General features: G+C 45.1%; 1 long non-coding RNA gene and 1 pseudogene across 2 annotated transcripts, besides 1 other annotated feature; one reads left to right on the top strand and one right to left on the bottom strand.

Moving 5' to 3' along the window:
• On the bottom strand, window positions 2,936–3,695 carry ATP5MGP3 (ATP synthase membrane subunit g pseudogene 3; annotated as a pseudogene).
• Window positions 3,188–3,829: an enhancer, noted in NCBI's record as "OCT4-NANOG-H3K27ac-H3K4me1 hESC enhancer chr4:24659537-24660178 (GRCh37/hg19 assembly coordinates)". NCBI's record gives its function as "activates a minimal SCP1, AML or CMV promoter by ChIP-STARR-seq in naive H9 embryonic stem cells {active_cell/tissue: H9 hESC(naive)}" and the evidence as "EXISTENCE:reporter gene assay evidence [ECO:0000049][PMID:30033119]".
• On the top strand, window positions 5,174–16,842 carry LINC02473 (long intergenic non-protein coding RNA 2473). 2 transcript variants are annotated; one of them, NR_183976.1, is made up of 2 exons: window positions 5,174–5,317; window positions 14,836–16,842. It is a non-coding gene; the product is annotated as a long intergenic non-protein coding RNA 2473 (long non-coding RNA). The 2 variants fall into 2 exon arrangements; NR_183977.1 differs by lacking the exon at window positions 5,174–5,317 and adding an exon at window positions 10,614–10,694.
• The last annotated feature ends 2,001 nt before the right edge of the window (window positions 16,843–18,843 follow it).

Raw genomic sequence — 18,843 nt, forward strand, 5'->3', positions numbered from 1 at the left:
CCCAACTTATTGGGCCTAGGAGCCCCTTTGCTGAGGCGCATTTTACATAGGACTTCCAGTCCTGTTTTGTCCTTTGTCCTTGCATAATTGCTAAAGGCATTCTCCTTTGTTCCCCAAAGTATATCAGTTTGGAGGATAAATTTTATGGTCACCTTATTGTAACAGGAGCAAACTTTGGAAAATGCTTTTCTGTTGTTACCTGGATTTCTGGAGAGCAACTTTTTTTTTTTTTTTTTTTTTGAGATGGAGTCTCGCTCTGTCACCCAGGCTGCAGTGCAGTGGCGCCATCTCGGCTCACTGCAACCTGGTCCATCTCTCGGGTTCAAGTGATTCTCCTGCCCCAGCCTCCTGAGTAGCTGGGATTACAGGCACATTCCACCACACCTGGCTCATTTTTTGTATTTTTAGTAGAGACGGGGTTTCACCATGTTGGTGAAACAATGGTTTCCTATTGTCCCCGGAATACTACTAAATTGATCCCCCATTAATATCAGCATTAGAATCCCAAAACCAAAGCACAGATTGTTTAAAATTAAACAGACCCTAAGCTGATTACATTATTAAAGTTGTTTTTTTTTGTTTGTTTGTTTTTTTTTTTGGTTGTTAAAAGACAGAAGCTAAACCTTAACAGGCCAAAAAAAAAAAAAGCTAGTAATTTGGGCAAGAAACTTAGAATCAGGGGACCAGCTTCAGGAACCACAGTTCCCTGATGCTTCCAGGATTTTCTCTCCAACCACAGCTTTTCTCCGCTTTAGCTTCAGTCCTTCCCACCAAGCAACAGAGAGTGGTTTCATGGGAGGAGGAAATAGGACAATGAAATTTTTGTTCTAAAGTCAAACTATGGGACAAAAAAATGATTCTTATAAAACGTTTTCCTTGAAAGTTCCTTAAATCACTTGTGAAGTACAATATATGTGGTTTGATGTATTCAACTCTGAATACATTCAAATGACAGAGGTATGCGGTAATATACAGAACATAATGAAGGATGCACATGCAAAACATACATTTCCAGATCTTTACTTACATGAAAAAGAGATGAGGCTGGGCACAATGGCTCTCGCCTGTAATCCCAGCACTTTGGGAGGCCAAGGCGGGTGGGTCACCTGAGGCCAGGAGTTTGAGACCAGACTGGTCAACATGGTGAAACCCTGTCTCTAATAAAAAATATAGAAATTAGCTGGGTGTGGTGGCACGTGCCTGTAATCCCAAGTATTCAGGGGGCTGAGGCAGGAGAATCTCTTGAACCCGTGAGGCAGAGGTTGCAGTGAGCCAAGATCACACCACTGCACTCCAGCTTGAGCGACAGAGCAAGACTCTTGTCTCCAAAAAAAAAAAAAAAAAAAAAAAAGGAGGGGGGTGGATGAAAGAATAAAAAGGAAGACTGCAGATGGTTTCTCCTAGCCACAGTCAGGGCGAAGGGCAGTGTTAATTCTTCAGTGTCATGTTCTCACTGGGGCGTGTCTCACTGAAGGGAAGGCTGGGAAGAGTTGCCTGTGCTGTTTTGACTGTGTTTGTTGATTTCCTCTCAATTCTCTAAATTCCATCACTCTCACTATAGAATCTTGGAAAAACAGACTTAACCTTTCTGTACCTCAAATATAAAATGAGGGAATGATAGAACATACCTCATAGTTTTATTGTGATGATAAAGTAGAATAATACAAGCAATGTATTTAGAACAGTACCAGGCATCTTTAAGCACCATGACTGCTACAACTGTTTGCACTGTAATAAAACCAATAGGGCCTCTGCTCTCTGGGGAGTTTTATTTTATTGGTTTTCTTTTTTTCTTTCTTTTTTTTTTTTTTTGAGATGGAGTCTAGCTCTGTTGTCCAGGCTGGAGTGCAGAGATCTCATCTCACTGCAACCTCCGTCTCCTAGGTTCAAGCAATCCTCCTTCATCAGCCTCCCGAGTAGCTGGGACTACAGACATGCACCACCACGCCCGGCTAATTTTTGTATATTTAGTAGGGATGGAGTTTCACAATGTTGGCCAGACTGGTCTGGAACTCCTGGCCTCAGGTGATCCACCCGCCTCGGCCTCCCAAAGTGCTGGGATTATGGGGGTGAGCCACCACGCCCAGCCTGGTTTTCATTTTCTGTGTTTTCTCCTCACCCCCAGTTTTTGTTTTGTTTCTTTGGTTTTTAGTCAGCCTTCTGACTGGTTTGCACCTTATGAAGAGAAATATCTTGTTTTTGTTTGTTTTGTTTTGAGACAGGGTATCACTATGTGGACCAGGCTGGACTCGAACTCCTGGGCTCAAGGCAATCTTCCCATCTCAGCCTCCTGAGTAGCTGGGACCACAGGCTCACACCTCTATACCTGGCTAGAAAGCTGCTTTTGATTCCTTCTTCAGAAGTCACACTCCATTATCACTCATTCAACAAATATTTATTAAGTAACTCCTATGGGCCAGGCATAATTCAAGGTGCTTCAGATGTAGCAGAAAACAAATCGACACAAATCCCCGCCCTTGTGGTCTTATGTCCCCATGGGAGAAGGGAAATATGAAGGAAAAAATGTCAAGCGTCTCCTGCTCCCCGGCTTATACTTCAAATTACATTGTGTTTCTCCCCTTCTCCTGCTGCAGCTTACGCTTATTTATTACTTTTTTTTTTTTTTTTTTTTTGAGACGGAGTCTCGCTCTGTCACCCAGATTGGAGCACAGTGGTGCGATCTCCACTCAATGCAAACTCCGCCTCCTGGGTTCACGCCATCCTCCTGCCTCAGCCTCCCGAGTAGCTGGGACTACAGGCACCCGCCACCACGCCTGGCCAATTTTTTTATATTTTTAGTAAAGACAGGGTTTCACTGTGTTAGCCAGGATGGTCTCGATCTCCTGACCTCATGATCTGCCCGCCTAGGCCTCCCAAAGTGCTGGGATTACAGGCGTGAGCCACGGCGCCTGGCCCTTTATATATATATTTTTTTTTTGGACAAATCTTATTTTATTCAGATAGCTGTCTGATCACACATGGTCAAAGAACGCTCAAATAATAAATCACATATAATCAGATGTTAAAGACTGGTTTTCAGCCAGGTGTGGTGGCTCACACCTGTAATCCCAGCACTTTGAGAGGCTGAGGTGGGTGGATCACGAGGACAGGAGTTCAAGATCAGCCTGGCCAATATGGTGAAACCCTGTCTCCACTAAAAATACAAAATTTGGCTGGGCGTGGTCACGCATGCCTGTAGTCCCAGCTGCTCGGGAGGCTGAGGCAGGATAATCGCTTGAACCTGGGAGGCAGAAGTTGCAATGAGCCAAGATTGCAACACTGCACTCCAGCCTGGGCAACAGAGTGACTCCGTCAAAAAAAAAAAAAAAAAAAAAAGATTGGTCTTTAAACATTATAACCATTCACGCCTCACTTGGCTAAACACAAAACCACATCCACACCTCAGCGACCACGAAACCATTCAGCACAGCTTCCTTAACTGTGAGCTGTTTGAAGCTACCAGTCTGAGCACTATTGACTATTGTTTTCAGGCTCTGACTAGCTCTAGGGAATCTCAACAGGGGTGGGAGGAACCAGCTCAACCTTGGCGTAGTACCAAAATGTGGCCAATCCAGGCTTTGCATAAGTCACAGCAGCGTTCACCAGTGCCCGGGCCTTTTCTGCAAAGTTACAGACAAATTGGGCTATGGTTCTGGAATGGAAAGTTCGTCACCCCGAACAGCCGGCTGAATGTCTACCTGTAACTTCTTGATACCACCTGCTTGCTGTAAACTTTTCCCTTAAAAACAAGGTTTTTCCAAGGGAAAACAAGGTTGAAACCAAAAGGTTTATTTGCAAATACCCTGGGTTTTCCCAGAAAGAATTTCAGGCAGCTTCCTTGCCCTTTGGCCTCATTGCTTACAAGTGACTTTTTCCTTTGCTGCATGTGCTGTGATATTTTTCTCTTTCTGTCTCCCTTTTTCTTTTTCTCTTTTTCTTTCTTTCTTTCTTTCTCTTTCTTTCTTTCTTTCTTTCTTTCTTTCTTTCTTTCTTTCTCTTTCTTTCTTTCTTTTTTCCTTCCTTCCTTCCTTTCTTTCTTTCCTTTTTTCTTTCTTTCTTTCTTTCCTTCTTTCTTTCTCTCTCTCTCTTTATTTTTTTTCAGGGTCTCATTCTGTCGCCCAGGCTGGAGTGCAGTGGCACACAATCTCGGTTCACTGCAATCTCCACCTCCCAGGCTAAAGTGATCCTCCCACCTCAACCTCCCAAGTAGCTGGGACTGCAGGCATGCGCCACTATGTCCAGCTAATTTTTGTATTTTTTGGTAGAGACAGGTTTTCACTGTGTTGGCCAGGCTGGTCTCAAACTCCTGACCTCAATTGATCCACCTGCTTTGGCCTCCCAAAGTGCTGGGATTACAGGTGTGAGCTCCTGCGCCCAGCCATGCTGTGATAGTTTTTCCTTGGTGCTAGTTCCCTTTCTTAAGCTGGAATTCCATCTCCCACTTGGTCCTTTCAGAGTCCCTTCTTTTGATGCAGGCAAGAAATCCTAATTTAGCATCACTTGTGATTATAATTAAGGTGCTGTTTACTCCCTCTTCCAGATCATTAATGAGGATGTTAAATGAGACCAGAATGAAACCGTGTCCCCATGGCATTCCGCTAGACACCTTCCAACAACTTGACACTCTGCCATTTGCTGTTTCATTACCCTTTGTTTACCTTGTGAGCTCAGGCCCTTGCTTTTGAAGGAGGCAGAAAGCTTACTATTTCTACTGCTGCATAGATGCCACTTAAAGGGTGGGGCTGTTAAAACCTGGCAGATTGTAAATGCATCCTTTTGAGTTTGAATTAAATGTGGATTATGAATAGAGCATTGTCAGTAAATACTGTTGCTCTCCCTCCTCTCAGATGCCTTTGTTTGCTCTTGACTTTCTGCAGCTGTTGTCTTTCTGGGAGCAGAGAAGGGTAGCTGTTTGCTGTATGCAAAGATATTGCTTGGATCAGCTTAACTACAAGTGTAAAGTTACACTGTTGCATGTGAAAGATGTGGTAGATGGATTGCATTCATGGCTCTAGTTTTTCTCTCCTCCCCATATCCATGCCCTTTACTGAAGTAACTTTGCAGTACACTCCCAACTCTGACTCTGCCAAGCCATGTGACTTTCTTTGACAAATGGGATTTTAGCAGACATAATGCAAGTGTAAGCTTGGAAAAAAGCACTACGTGTCTGCTTGCACTCCTGAGCCTCCACCATTGCTGTGAAAACATGCCTGGGAGAGCCTGCTGGAAGACAGTACCCAGAGCAGCGCCCCAGTCTCTCCAGTTGACTAGCCAGGACCAGCCTAGATCTTCTGACAACTGGATGACCTTCAGATATGTGAGTGAAACCAGCAGAATTTGCAAGCTGACCACCACCAGATGCATGAGCAATAAGTATACTGCTTATGAGGTCTTGTTTGTTATACAGCCTCAGCTATGGCAATAGATAGCTGATACAATAGCACACATTTGGAGCTTTGTGGACTGGGAACTCATTGATCTTCCAAAGATTTTCCACATGGTGGGTCCCTGACACGATCCTTTACAAGAAATGAGAAGGAAAAGTTTTCTAAATAGAGATTCAGAAGGACAAAACAGGCTCTAGCATCTACAGTAACCTTTAAGAGACAAGGAGCAAGGGAGAAAAGAGCCTCCATGGAGACTTCCAGAATATGCAGGGCACTAAAAAAACTCCTTTTTCCTTTCTCTTTCTCTCTCTCTTTTAAGTAAAACAAGGTCTCACTGTACTGCCCAGGTTGGTTTCAAATTCCTGGGCTCAAGTGATCTTCCGACCTTGGTCTCCCAAAGTGGTAGGATTATAGGCGTGAGCCACTGCACCTGGCCTTCTTTTTCCAATGAAGACAGAAAAGAGAAATGAAGGGTGACCTAATAATTAGAATGCACTGACTCTCCCCTAACCCTAGGCACTGGTTTGCTGTTTCATTTTCAAATATTTGCCTCCGGAAACAGTCAAATCACTCAGGCTACAGCCGAAAAATGCTCCTTTGGTTTATGGCAACGCCATTGTTACAGGAAAGGGGTTCCGATCCAGACCCTAAAAGAGGGTTCTTGGATCTTGTGCAAGAAAGAATTCAGGGTGAGCCATACAAAAAAGTGAAAGCAAGTTTATTAAGAAAATAAAGGAATAAAATAATGGCTGCTTTATAGACAGAACACCCAGAGGGCTGCTGGTTGTCTATTTTTATGGTTATTTTTCCATCATATGCTAAACAATGAGTGGATTATTCATGCCTCCCCTTTCTAGACTATATAGGGTAAGTTCCTGACATTGCCATGGCATCCATAAACTGTCATGGCGCTGGTGGAAGTGTAGTAGTGAGGATGACCAGCGGTCACTCTCATGACCATCTTGGTTTTGATGGGTTTTCAGTGGTTTCTTACTGCAACTTGTTTTATTACCAAGGTCTTTATGACCTGTGTCTTGTATCTCCTGTCTCATCCCGTAACTTAGAATCCCTTAACCATCTGGGAATGCAGCCCAGTAGGCCTTAGCCTCATTTTACCCAGCTCCTATTCAAGATGGAGTTGCTCTGGTTCACACGCCACAGACACTGAGACAGGTGGCCTTACGAAGATGGGTAAAGCCTGGAAAAGGAGTTTGCACTCCTTACTCTGAGTGGAGGCACATGCTTCTTAAGTGCACAAGCTTCTGAAGACACAGCCTCTACTTGCTCCTTGGGGCTTTTTTTTTTCTTTCTTTTTCTGGAGACCGAGTCTGGCTCTGCTGCCCAGGCTGGAGTACAGCAATCTCAGCTCACTGCAGCCTCCGCCTCCCAGGTTCGAGTGGTTGAATCCTGCCTCAGCCTCCTGAGTAGCTGAGATTACAGGCATGCGCCACCATGCCCGGCTAATTTTTGTATTTTTAGTAGAGACAGGGTTCCACCATGTTGGTCAGGCTGGTCTTGAACTCCTGACCTCAAGTGATCTGCCCGCCTTGGCCTTCCAAAGTGCTGGGATTACAGGTGTGAGCCACCATGCCTGGCCCCTGGGGCTTTTCTTACTCAGCAGCCCTCTAGGCTGCCTCTTCACAGCGGACACCCAACCTTAGAATGGGCAAAGTGTGGCCCCTGGCCAGCAGCCTGGGCATCACCCAGGAGCTCATCAGACCTGCAGAATCTCAGAGCCCACCCTCACCTAATGAATCTAAACTGACATTTCACTGGAACCACAGGGAATTTGTGTGCACATTAAAGTTCAAGGAGCACAGGTCTTAGGAGATGTAGAGCTCCTCTGGAAGGGCATATCATTTATTTGGGGTCCATCCCCACCTCTAGGTGGTGAGTTCTTGAGGGGAGGATGATACCTTGTGAGTCTTTGTATCCCCAGCACCAAGCACTGCGCCTAAATGTAATAGGAGCTCAAAACTAATTTGCTAAACTGCAGTGAGCTGATGTAACTGAACAGCCAGACTCGTCAAGCTTACTCCCCTATCTCGTGGACAGGACTTTCCTCTCCAGGATTCCTGAGCTGCCTGGAGCAGTGACCACCTTTAATGCACAAATTTGTCAAAACAAGGCAAACCCCACCTCCCCGCCCCCCCCCCCCCGCCCCCACACACACAGACCCTGGGCAGCTCTGTGCACTCCAGAGATTTAGGTTTGAACATTGTGATGTAAAGCACAACATCCAGTGCATTTGAATAAGTGAGTTTGGGATCGGCATTCTGCATATATTAGAATGTCAATGAGGAACTTAAATTAGGGCCCTACTAAAAAATTTGCTAGGCCTTCAACAGTGGACTCAGAAATAGACCAGCAGGCAGGGAGGGAGGAAGAGAGGAAAGGAAGAAGGTTAAAAAACTGGGAGAGTGACAGTCGGGGAGGGGGAGGAAAGAAAAAATAGGCTAGGGCTTATGGGACCTAAATTTTACCTTGTTATTTTCTAGTGGAACTTGGAATTTTTCACCCCCTCTCACGGTATCATTGACATTAAATATCCAATCTTCTCTGCCCCACATCAACTTGAGTAATAAACCACAGCCAAGGTTGGCTGCATCTGCTCTCTTCCTCCTTACTCAATTCAAGTTAAGAATGCTCACACCATACACTACTATTGGGATTTTTAAAATGATTTATTTTGCTACACAGTTCAGACCTTTGAACCAGGCTGGATGCTGGGTGCTTTGTTGACACAGTAGTTAGGGATAAAAGGGGAGTTTGGGGAATTGCAGAATTCTGACTTTCTATAAATCACTAATTTTATTGTAGTAAATAGAGGTCACCTCCTGGAACTTCAGTCGCCTGCCTTGAAAAATGGCATGAAACTATCAATGTCCATCTAAAGGAAAAAAACAGGACAAAGAGAGTGGAAGGGAAAAGTATTTTCTCAGTTTTAGCCAAGGCTGCATCAAGAATATGGCTAGTATGCTCAAAGCTATCTTTAAGAGGTGGCCCAGAAACTTCCCATTTCTTCTTTGAGCACACTGTCTATTGCCCCTGCCCTAGACGAGAGGCTAAAGGCAAAGAATGTGGCAAAGTAGCTGGGGTGTGGGGGACCTTGGACATTCAGTTCTGTCATGAGCTTAGAAGGGCTAAGCCAGAAGGGAGACTGAAGAGTGCACTCCAAAACTGTGCCCGATTCAGCTGAGAGTAATCAAAACAGATACCACATATGGCAGGAGCTGCAAACACAGGCAAACTCAGGGGCCATGGAGGGAAGGTAAATGGCTTGGGAGAGTTGCTAAACTGAGAGACTCTAGCTTGAGTTACTCAACATCTTTCTAACTCCTTCTTTCTTTTTTGTTCTCCTGTTTTTTCTTTCCTTATTTTATTTTATTTTATTTTGTTTCATTTTATTTTATTTTATTTTATTATTTTATTGCGTTCTGGGGCACATGTGAAGGATGTGCAGGTTTATTGCATAGGTAAACATGTGCCATGGTGGTTTGCTGCAACTATCCACCCATCACCTAAGTACTAAGCCCAGTATGCATTAGCTATTTTTCCTGATGCTCTCCCTCCTCCCTCCCTTATTTCTTTTGTGTGTGTGTGTGTGTGTGTGTGTGTGTGTGTGTGTGTCCAGGTCTCGCTATGTTTCCTAGGCTGGAGTGCAGTGGTGCGACCTCAGCTCACTGCAACCTCTGCCTCCCAAGCTCAAACGATCCTTCCACCTCAGCCTCCTGAGTGAGATTACAGGTGCATGTCACCAGGCCTGGCTAATTTTTTAATTTTTTGTAGAGAAGGGGTTTCACCATGTTGCCCAGGCTGCCTCACTTCTAACCTGTAAGACATAAGTGGAAGTCCCTGGAAAGTCTTCCTTTCTTGTATAAAAAAGCAAAGTCTTGCTAGGAGAGATTTTGTCCTTTGCTCCTTTGCCATTCCCTCCTCCTTTTCCTGCCTGAAACACAGATGCCATAGCTTGCTGTGCAGGAGCCATCTTGAGATCATGAGGACCAAACACTTCATGCTTAAAGACAGCAGAGCAGCAAGGCTGAGGAGCCTAGGTCCCTGCTGGCATTGCTCAGCCTCACTGCCAGCCCTGGACATCTAGCTGCAAGAAGAAAATTAACCCCTTACTTATTTAAGCCCCTGTGGTCAGGTTTTCTACTCTACACACAGTGATATGCTACCCCCGGCTCTATCCATTGTTGCTGTATAGGAATGCTGGCTCGGTGTCACAAGATTTTCTGATTTTTCAAGAGAAGATATAAATCTGGATTTTTTAAAATACAGAATTTCCCAGTTGGCAGTTGGTAATTGATCCCAATAGAGACAATTAATTGAATTTTTTGAAGACACACTTCCAATTTGTGATCTCTGATTTATAGAATCTTTACTCTGGGCCAGAGGCTATGCTAAGCATTTTATATAGATGATCACATTTAATCCTGACAACAGTGCTGAAAGTCATGCTATTATTACTTTTTTATATATAGTTTAAGAAACTGAGGCTCAAAAGTTTAGCTAACTTGCCCAAAGCTGTGTAGCTATAGAGAAAGAGCCATTATTACAGCTCATGCCTGACTTTGGACCAGGCATTGCTAATAATGTGAATAATATGGAGTCAATCCTCTATTGCCACATAATGCTGCTTGACAATCCACGTAGAAACTCAGTGGCTTACAACCAGAATTTACTCTCATGCTTATGGTTCTGTAGGATGACTGTGGTATGGGTGATCCCAGTTGGGCTCAGTTGCATGCCTCTGCTTCAAGCTGTGATTCCCGTGGGATAGGGTCTAGGCTGGGAGTTGGGTTCAAGTCCACTCCATGTGTTTTCACTCTGAAAGGGCAGTAGCTGTGCAGGGTATGCTCTTCCCTTGGGAGAATACCAGAATGTAAGAACCAAGCCCTCATCGGTGAGTGCATTTAAGGTCTCTAGTCATATTGTGTCTGCTAGCATTCCATTGGTCAAAAGAAGCTATGATGCTGAGCCCAACATCTGTGGAGCAGGGAGATATACTTGGCCCACAGAAGGAGGGAGCATGAGCATTGCTCAACAGTGATCCAAACAATCACAACTATTCTACACAGCCTCAGGAAAAGCTGGCTTTCATTCCGATGAAACAAAGACTCCTTTTTTCCCCACTGCCTGTTTGCAAAAATGGCAGATGCTGCAAGGACCTGGTAAGTGGGGCACAAAGCCATGCAAATCCATCTGAAGTCAGTTCATTTCAGAGATACCACCAGCTTCTGATGGTGTTACACCCTGGAAATGGCAGTCCAGCTCTAGCTTCTGGAAGGCAACTGGCAAGAGGTAAGGAAGAGATGGTGGGAAGGTAGCCCCTCTCCTTGTTGGGGAGGAGCTTTCATCTTATTCCAGTTCTCAGCAGTAGAAGCTATGCCTGGAGACTTCCAGGTGTCTCCTGTCCTGGTTCCTGCCTTGTTCTTTCTCTTTTCCCTCATCCTCATTTATGTTTTCACTCCTCCTTCTCCAATATTCCAGAATATTCATTCATCCATTCAATGAATAGGCATTTATTGACCACCTCCTTTGTGCCAATTGCTGTTCTTGATGCTGTGGTAACAGCAAGAACAGGACTGAACCCATCCCAATTTCCATCTGAGCTACTTCTAGTAGAGGCTGGCAAATAACAAACAAGTAAATAAAATGAAAAGCATAATTTGGGAGAGTGAGAAGTGCTCCCAAGGGCAGACAGAATGGAGAGGGGAGCAAAGAAAGGGAAGGAGGGTGGAGGAGAAAGGGCCCAGCCTCTTAGTGCCTGACTAGCCCTTTGCTGTGAAGGCTCACCTTTCACGCTTGGCTTCTCCCTGAAGCTGGGAGCTACTTCAGGCAGGAGCCATATTTGATTCAGCTGTGTCCAAGGTCAGACGCAAAGCTTCCCCAAACGCTGTTGGGCAGCAGATTATACCACAGTGTCTTGAAATACCTGCATGGTGTCTATGTGAGCAAGACCTGCTGCCTCCAAGTGTCCTGTCGGTTGTGTTAATCACGTGCATGGGAGGTGAGGGGTGGTATGTACTTGGAGGGGGAGCCCATAGCGAAGGGCAGGGGAGAGAGCCACCAACAGCTTCTCCACTCCTTTTATGGGATAAACTGGGTGGTCCCTCCATGTACACAGGCTTCATGCAGAGCTCTGGATATGCTGCATTAGACCACCTTGTGCCTCAGTTTACTGGAGGGATATAACTAACCTCATCAGGTTCCCTAGAGCAGAGATTCTCAACAGGGTAAGAAGTGATTTTGCCCTGCCATACCCATATCAGGGGACATTTGGCAATGTCTGGAAACATTTTTGATGATCACAACTCGGGAGGGAGTACACTGGCATTTAGTGGGCAGAGGCCAGGGATGCTGCCAAACATGCCACAATGCACAAGGCAGAATTATCTGGCTCACAATGTCAGTAGTGCCCGGGTGCCCTGGAGCCATGCTTGTTAGCCACCCACCCCTCGTGCATCTGTGCAGGGGCTCAATTTAATTTCTCTATATTATTTTATTTACTTTGAGAATGGGTGATATATGCACATCACAACATTCCAAAAGAACAATAGAGGTCATAGTGAAAATGCCTCTCTTTCAGTCTTATTAATAGCTCTCCTTCCTCTTCCCCACCCCTACTACCTTGTGCATCTCCTTCCAAACATACTCTGCCTGTTAGTGCCCCACCTAATATCTTATCGTCTCTCACCTCAACACACCAAAGGCTGCTTTTTGTGACTATCCAAATTTTTCTGCCTGGGGGCTTTTTGTTCTGGCCCTGGGAGCACCTTTGGCAAACTGGAATTGCCCAAGAGTTAATGCTCCTGGAAGTAGCCCACAACCAAAGACAGGTGGAAAGTTGGTGGATAAATACCTCAGCTTATCTTAGGTGAGATAACTCTGAAGGGAGTTCTACACTGTTGGCTTGTTTCACCCTGCAGGATTGCCGTCCAGTTGCTCTCAGTGGTAACGTTCTTGATATTTTCCCTTAATTGACTACCTTTTCTTCCTTGCCTTACTTCTCCACTCTCCTATCGGAATTTCCTGGGATTGCAAGCGAACATCTCAGAGTGTGATTCTGGAGGAACCCAAACTAAGAGAGGGCTATCTATATCTATCTATATCTAGATCTAGATCTATATCTATCTATATCTAGATCTAGATCTATATCTATCTATCTATATATACATACCTATGTATACATACATAGGTATACATGTATATATACACACACATATATTCATATGTGTATATGTGTATGTGTAGTATATATGTGTATATATAGATACAGTTTTTACACAAGTGATAACGTTCTACATCTTGCTTTTTCACTTAATTATATATCTTGGTGGTGTTCCTTATCAGTATAGTGAGCTACTAATATCTTATTATTTCTTGCAACATTCTATTTCATTATATAGATATCCCATAACTTATGGGCATCTAGATAGATTTTCATCTGTGTTTATCAGTGCCCTTGAAACAGTGCCCTTGAAACAGTTTATCAGTGCTCTTATACATTTGATATAATTTCTTCCAGAGTCATGAGATATGCATGTTTAAAATTTTGATAGACATTGCCAATTCTTTATAAAGCCTACACCAATTTATAGCTTCTCACCAGCAACATATGAGTTGAAACTTGGTGCTGAAAAGATGAAGCCAAATGTTTAGGTTGCCTTTTGTCCCTGCTTTGGTCTCTGCTCAAAGCATGTCCTCTCTTCTGTACCTTGGAAGTGGACATGAGCATGGAACTCCCAGGCTGTGGAATACCAGGTGAATGAGTGCAGCCAGGAGGCACCCGGTGGTGTTCCTGAAGGTGTGGACACACATACACACAGCAAACCCACTTGCTCTCCAGATAGTTGGAATCCTTGTTGGTTAAACGTTATGGAGGAACAAAGTGGTGAACACCTCAAAGATGAAGTTTCCAAATCAGATTCAATAGTGAGATATTGAAGGGATATATGCACTTCCCTTGATAGGCCCCTTGCAATTGAGTAGGGGCAAATATTAATACATTCTGAGTGCTCACTGTGTGCCTGGCTGAGAGCCAAATGCATTCCTTGCATCTTCTTATCATCTCATAGCAACCCTATATTGAAGATGATGTTCTTATTCCTGTCTTTTAATGAGGTTACTGGATGATAAATATATTAATTGACCACTTAGCAGATGGAAACTATTGAAAGCCTAACCCAAACTGCCAGGGTTAAAATCCTGGCTGTTTCTCTTATGAGTTGGGTAACCTTAGGCAAGATGCCCTTCTTCTCTTTGGTGCTTCTATTTTCTCCTCTGTAAAATGGAGACATTGCTATGAAGGTGAAATAAGTTAATAGATAGAAAATGCTCAGAAAAAATGGGCTATCTAATCATTGTCTATATGACTCTTGAAACTGGAATTTATTCACTGTATTTTACAGTATCCCAGCAGTCCAGTTCATTTTTTTAATTTATTTTATTATTTATTTATTTATTTATTTTGAGAGTGTCTCGCTCTGTCACCCATGCTGGAGTACAGTGGCCCAATCTCGGCTCACTGTAACCTCTGCCTCCCGGGTTCAAGCGATTCTCGTGCCTCAGCTTCCTGAGTAGCTGGGATTACAGATGTGCACCACCACACCTGGCTAATTTTTGTATTTTTAGTAGACACGGGGTTTCGCCATGTTGGCCAGGCTGGTCTTGAACTCCTGACCTCAGGTGATCCACCTGCCTCGGCCTCCCAAAGTGCTGGGATTACAGGCATGAGCCACCATGCCCGGCCCTGGCCAGTTCATTTTTAAAAACTGAAATTTTAAGAGTTTAAGAAAATAAATGAAAGAGATACAAGTTTTATTTCAGAATTCTCAAAGCGTACTGAGGATTGTTGCTGGAACCACGCTTATGCCTCCGCTGTACGGCTGGCTGGGGGCTCCTGGGGTGGGAGCCGATTACACCACCGTGAGCAGCAGTGATAGAAGCACAAGTCGGCACCGACTGTTAGGCTCATCTGCAGAAATCCAGGCTCTCTGCATTCTGGAATAATTTGATCCACACCATCTGGCAGCTTGAAAGAAGAAGAAAAAGATGAAGAGGGAGAAGAAACAACAGCCATGTAGCATGAATGTAATTCCTAATCTAAGTTATGCACTCCCATTTGCTTCATGTAATATGAGCCAAATTTAAACATGTCAACATCTCAACAATTGCTGATTTTTCAAGTGCTATACGATGCATCTGGCGGGCACTCATTGAATGTTCTTCAATGATGTGACATAAATCTATTTACTAAAATAGAGTGTATTGAAAAAGTAAATAGTATATTGTAATGTTCTTGAGTTGGCGTTTGCATAAATTGGGACTCTCTGAAATATGTGGGTTTGAGATTTAAAAGCACATGACTATGTTTTTAAATGTTCAAAGCATCATAATTGTAGCGCTTACAAACCATTGAGTCTATTTCTCTCATTTTAAGCATAAGAAAACAGCCGAAGATTAGATTTTGATAATGAGAGAGCCCAACGATCCTGGACCCCTGGCCGGGAGGACAATAGGGGAAACAGGTGAAACACTGTGTGAGCTGGACCACCCAGGCTCTCCAACACCAGGACACCAGAGCATCCTTCCTCCTTCTTCTCTTCTGCTGCGACTTCCTGGAGGCATAGCAGAGTTACAACTGCTGGCCATGTGGAACTTCTCTTCTCCTATAAGTTTGCTCTGAGATGGAGAGATTGTGCCTGTGGTTCATTAGGAAGAGCTCTTGGGATCAATGCCTGTAATAAGGAAGGGAAGGAATCAGGATTGGCCAGAAGGAGAAGTTGAGCTGTGTTGAAGCCTCAATGGAGACCTCAGCCAATTCTGAGTCATGTCCTGAAGCTAGAATATGTCCTCTAAATTATCCCAAGCTGAGATGAGGGAGCTGGGCATTTAGCCCTGTATTAGGCCATTCTTGCACTGCTATAAAGAAATAACTATGGCCTGGCGCCGTGGCTCACGTCCTTAATCCTAGCACTTTGGGAGGCCGAGGCGAGCAGATCACGAGGTCAGAGTTTGACACCAGCCTGGCCAATATGGTGAAACCCCAATTCTACTAAAAATACGAAAATTAGCCAGGCGTGGTGGCACATGTCTGTAATCTCAGCTACTCGGGAGGCTGAGGCAGGAGAATTGCTTGAACCCAGGAAGTGGAGGTTGCAGTGAGCTGAGATTGTGCCTCTGCACTCCAGCCTAGGGAATAAAGCGAAAGTCTGTCAAAAAAAAAAAAAAAAAGGAAAGAAGGAAATAACTGAGACTGGTAATTTATAAAGAAGAGGTTTAATTGGCTCACAGTTCCTCATGCTATACAAAAAGCATGATGCTGGCATCTGCTCAGCTTCTTGGGAGGCCTCAGGAAATGTACAATCATGGCAGAAGGTGACGCGGGAGCAGGCAGTTCACAGGGCCGGTGCAGGAGGAGAGAGAGAGGCAGGAGATGCTACACGCCTTTAAACAACCAGATCTCCTGATAACTCACTCTCGTCACAACACCACCAAGGGAGATGGTGTTAAACCATGAGAAACCACCTCCACGATCCAATCACCTCCCACCAGGCCTCACCTCCAACACTGGGGATTTATAATTCCACGTGAGATTTGGGTAGAGGACACAGATCCAAAATATATCATACCCCCACGTTGATCAGTCATTAGATGTGGGCCACCCTAGTTGAGGCAGCTCCCCTCGCTCAGGTGGTTCCTGAAGCGAGCTGACAGCTGACGGCTGCATGCCAGAGGTACTGTCAGCAGCTGAAGGAGAGTCTTTTGTGCTAAAAGCCATCTTAAGCAGCACAGCACAGCGTCCACCACATATTGTGGACAGGTGATATGGTTTAGATCTGTATCCCCACCACAATTTCATGCTGAATTGTAGTCCCCAATGTTGGAGGTAAGCCCTGGTGGGAGGTGTTCGGGTCGTGGGAGCAGATCCCTCATGAATGGCTTGGGCCATCCTCTTGGTGATGAGGGAACACTCACTCTGAGTGTTCACAAGATCTGGTGGTTTAAACGTGTATGGCACCTCTCCCCACCCCCACTCTTTCTTGTTCCTGCTTTTGCCATGGGACTCGCATGATCCCTTTGCCTTCTGCCAGGACTAAAAGCTCCCTGGAGCCTCCTCAGAAGCTGAGCGATGTTGGCGCCATGCTTCTGGTACAGCCTGCAGAACCATGAGCCAATTCAACCTCCTTTCTTTATAAATTACCCAGTCTCAGGTATTTCTTTATGGCAATACAAGAACACCAGGGGTTTGCAGGTAACCCGGGCCCCTGTCCTTGAGGACACAGCAGCAAGCCATTGGTAAAGCAAAACTGTCCATAAGGAAGGCTGCTCCCATGCAGTGTTCATTTGGGCAGCCCAGAAATCGAGAAATCCTCGGTCCATTTCAAGTTTGGGGGAAAACTTATTTTTATCATATTTGAGATGAATAATAAAAGCAAATCCAGAAGTCGGATGGCATCTTTTATTGGACTTAGACCTGGTGTTGTTGAATGGGATTAGATCTGTGGGATGAAGAATGAATCCTGATTCACAGCCACTGCCCTATACTGGACTTATGGAGTCCACCCCTGACACACTGTGGCCTCGGGTGCTGAGACTTCCACAGGGTTTTGGAACTGCCCAGATACATGTGTGCCAATTGGAGCCTGGGGTCTGTATGTCTGTCTTCCAGAACTAAAGATCTCTCAGATCCAAAACTGGCTACATATTCTGGAGCATGGAACTTTAATTTCCTCTTTTATTTGTTCATTTGTTCATCTATGCATTTGACAGGTATTTACTGAAACTAGATTGCAACTCAACCAGATGTAGTGGGAGAGGCAGATAATTGAAAAAGGAAGTACAATGGTGTGGGAAAAGTATTAGGAAAGAGGAAGTGCAGGGTTGTATGGGAGCTCGAGGAGGAACGGAGAAAGTCTCCCAGGAAATAAGGGCGAAGATGAGTGGAGACGGGGAGGATGCTGTGGGTGGATGAACAGTGTGTATGGAAGTTCTCTGAGAATGACATGCTTGAGGAGCGAGAGAAGTGCGGTGTGGCTGGAGCCTTGGGTGTGTGGGAAGGAGAGGCGGAAGGGAGTTAGGTAGGGGCCAGGAGGGGGGCAGCTTCACAGGCCCAGTGAGGGAGGCTGGACTTTGTTCTAAGGTCATCATGACACCACTTTGAAGAGTCTGAAGCCATGTAATCAGAGTTGTGTTTTTCTTTTATTTCTTTTCTTTTCTTTTCTTTTCTTTTCTTTTCTTTTCTTTTCTTTTCTTTTTGAGACAGGGTCTCACTGTTGCCCAGGCTAGAGTGCTGTGGTGTGACCTCAGCTCACTGCAACCTCTGCCTCCCGGATTCAAGTGACTCTCGTGCCTCAGCCTCCCAAGCGGCTGGGAATACAGGCGCGTGCCATCATGCCAGGTGAATTTTTGTATGTTTAGTAGAGGCGGGGTTTCACCATGTTGGCCAGGCTGGCCTCGAACTCCTGGCCTCAAGTGATCAGCCCTCCTCAGCCTCCTGAAGTGCTGGGATTACAGGCGTGAGCCACTGCGCCCAGCACAGAGTTTAAAAGATCAATAATCTGGGGAAGAGATTATTGCTCTCTCTGAGCTTGGGTGGTGGCAGCAGCAATTAGAAGTGTTTAGGAGGCAGAACTGTCAGGCTGGGGTGATCCCCTCGCCAGACCCTAGTACTGGGGAATTGGGGAATGAAGCGCTGATAGGCTGAACATATCGCCTTCCCAGCCTGGGGTGCAAGATTTCACCGCCTGAGGGTACTACTGCCGCCATGGGTCAGGTTGTACCTGAAGTAAGATCTGTTTTCCAGGAGTGATTTGGGATATGGGTGAGAACCCCATGGTTGATTTACATTCAGGGAAAATGCAAAAAGGAATCAGAAATTGCCCCGCCTCTGAATCTCTAGCATTTCTCCAACTTGGCCCGAGGCTGCTTCCACTCTGGCCCTGATTTCTACTGTAAGCGGCAGGATTCTGAGCAGCAGAGAGTCATCGCCCTCAGGAAGCAGGCTAAGCAATCATTTCAGTCCTTAATCAGGCGCTTAACAAGGAAGGAGGCCAGCTCCGGGAATGCGTGTGCATTAACTTTGTTAATGGTAAAGGGCTGGACACTGCAAGGTTGCAGTCATCTCCCAAGCAAGCAGGCCTTCCTTGTGCTTTGTGCCCTAGAAGGTGAGCCTCAGTGACAAACCTGTCAAAAATATGTTTATTGAACACCTACTATACTATGTGCAAGGTGGCTCTGGAGGCAGATCCTGTATATTATTTATCTCATTATTCTTAATCCGTGGCACAGGCACAGGACCGAAAGAGAAAAGGTGGGTGTTTGTTGTGCTGTGAAATGAGCCCCACAATCCTCCAGGTGTGTTCTGGGCGGTGCCACCGCACCTCCATCGTAATTACTGCCATGGTTCCAACCACAGGCCTTGGAGTCAGGTCTCAGTGCAAGCTCC

The sequence above is a fragment of the Homo sapiens genome, chromosome 4 (genome assembly GCF_000001405.40).
Source record: "Homo sapiens chromosome 4, GRCh38.p14 Primary Assembly".
NCBI lineage: Eukaryota > Metazoa > Chordata > Mammalia > Primates > Hominidae > Homo > Homo sapiens.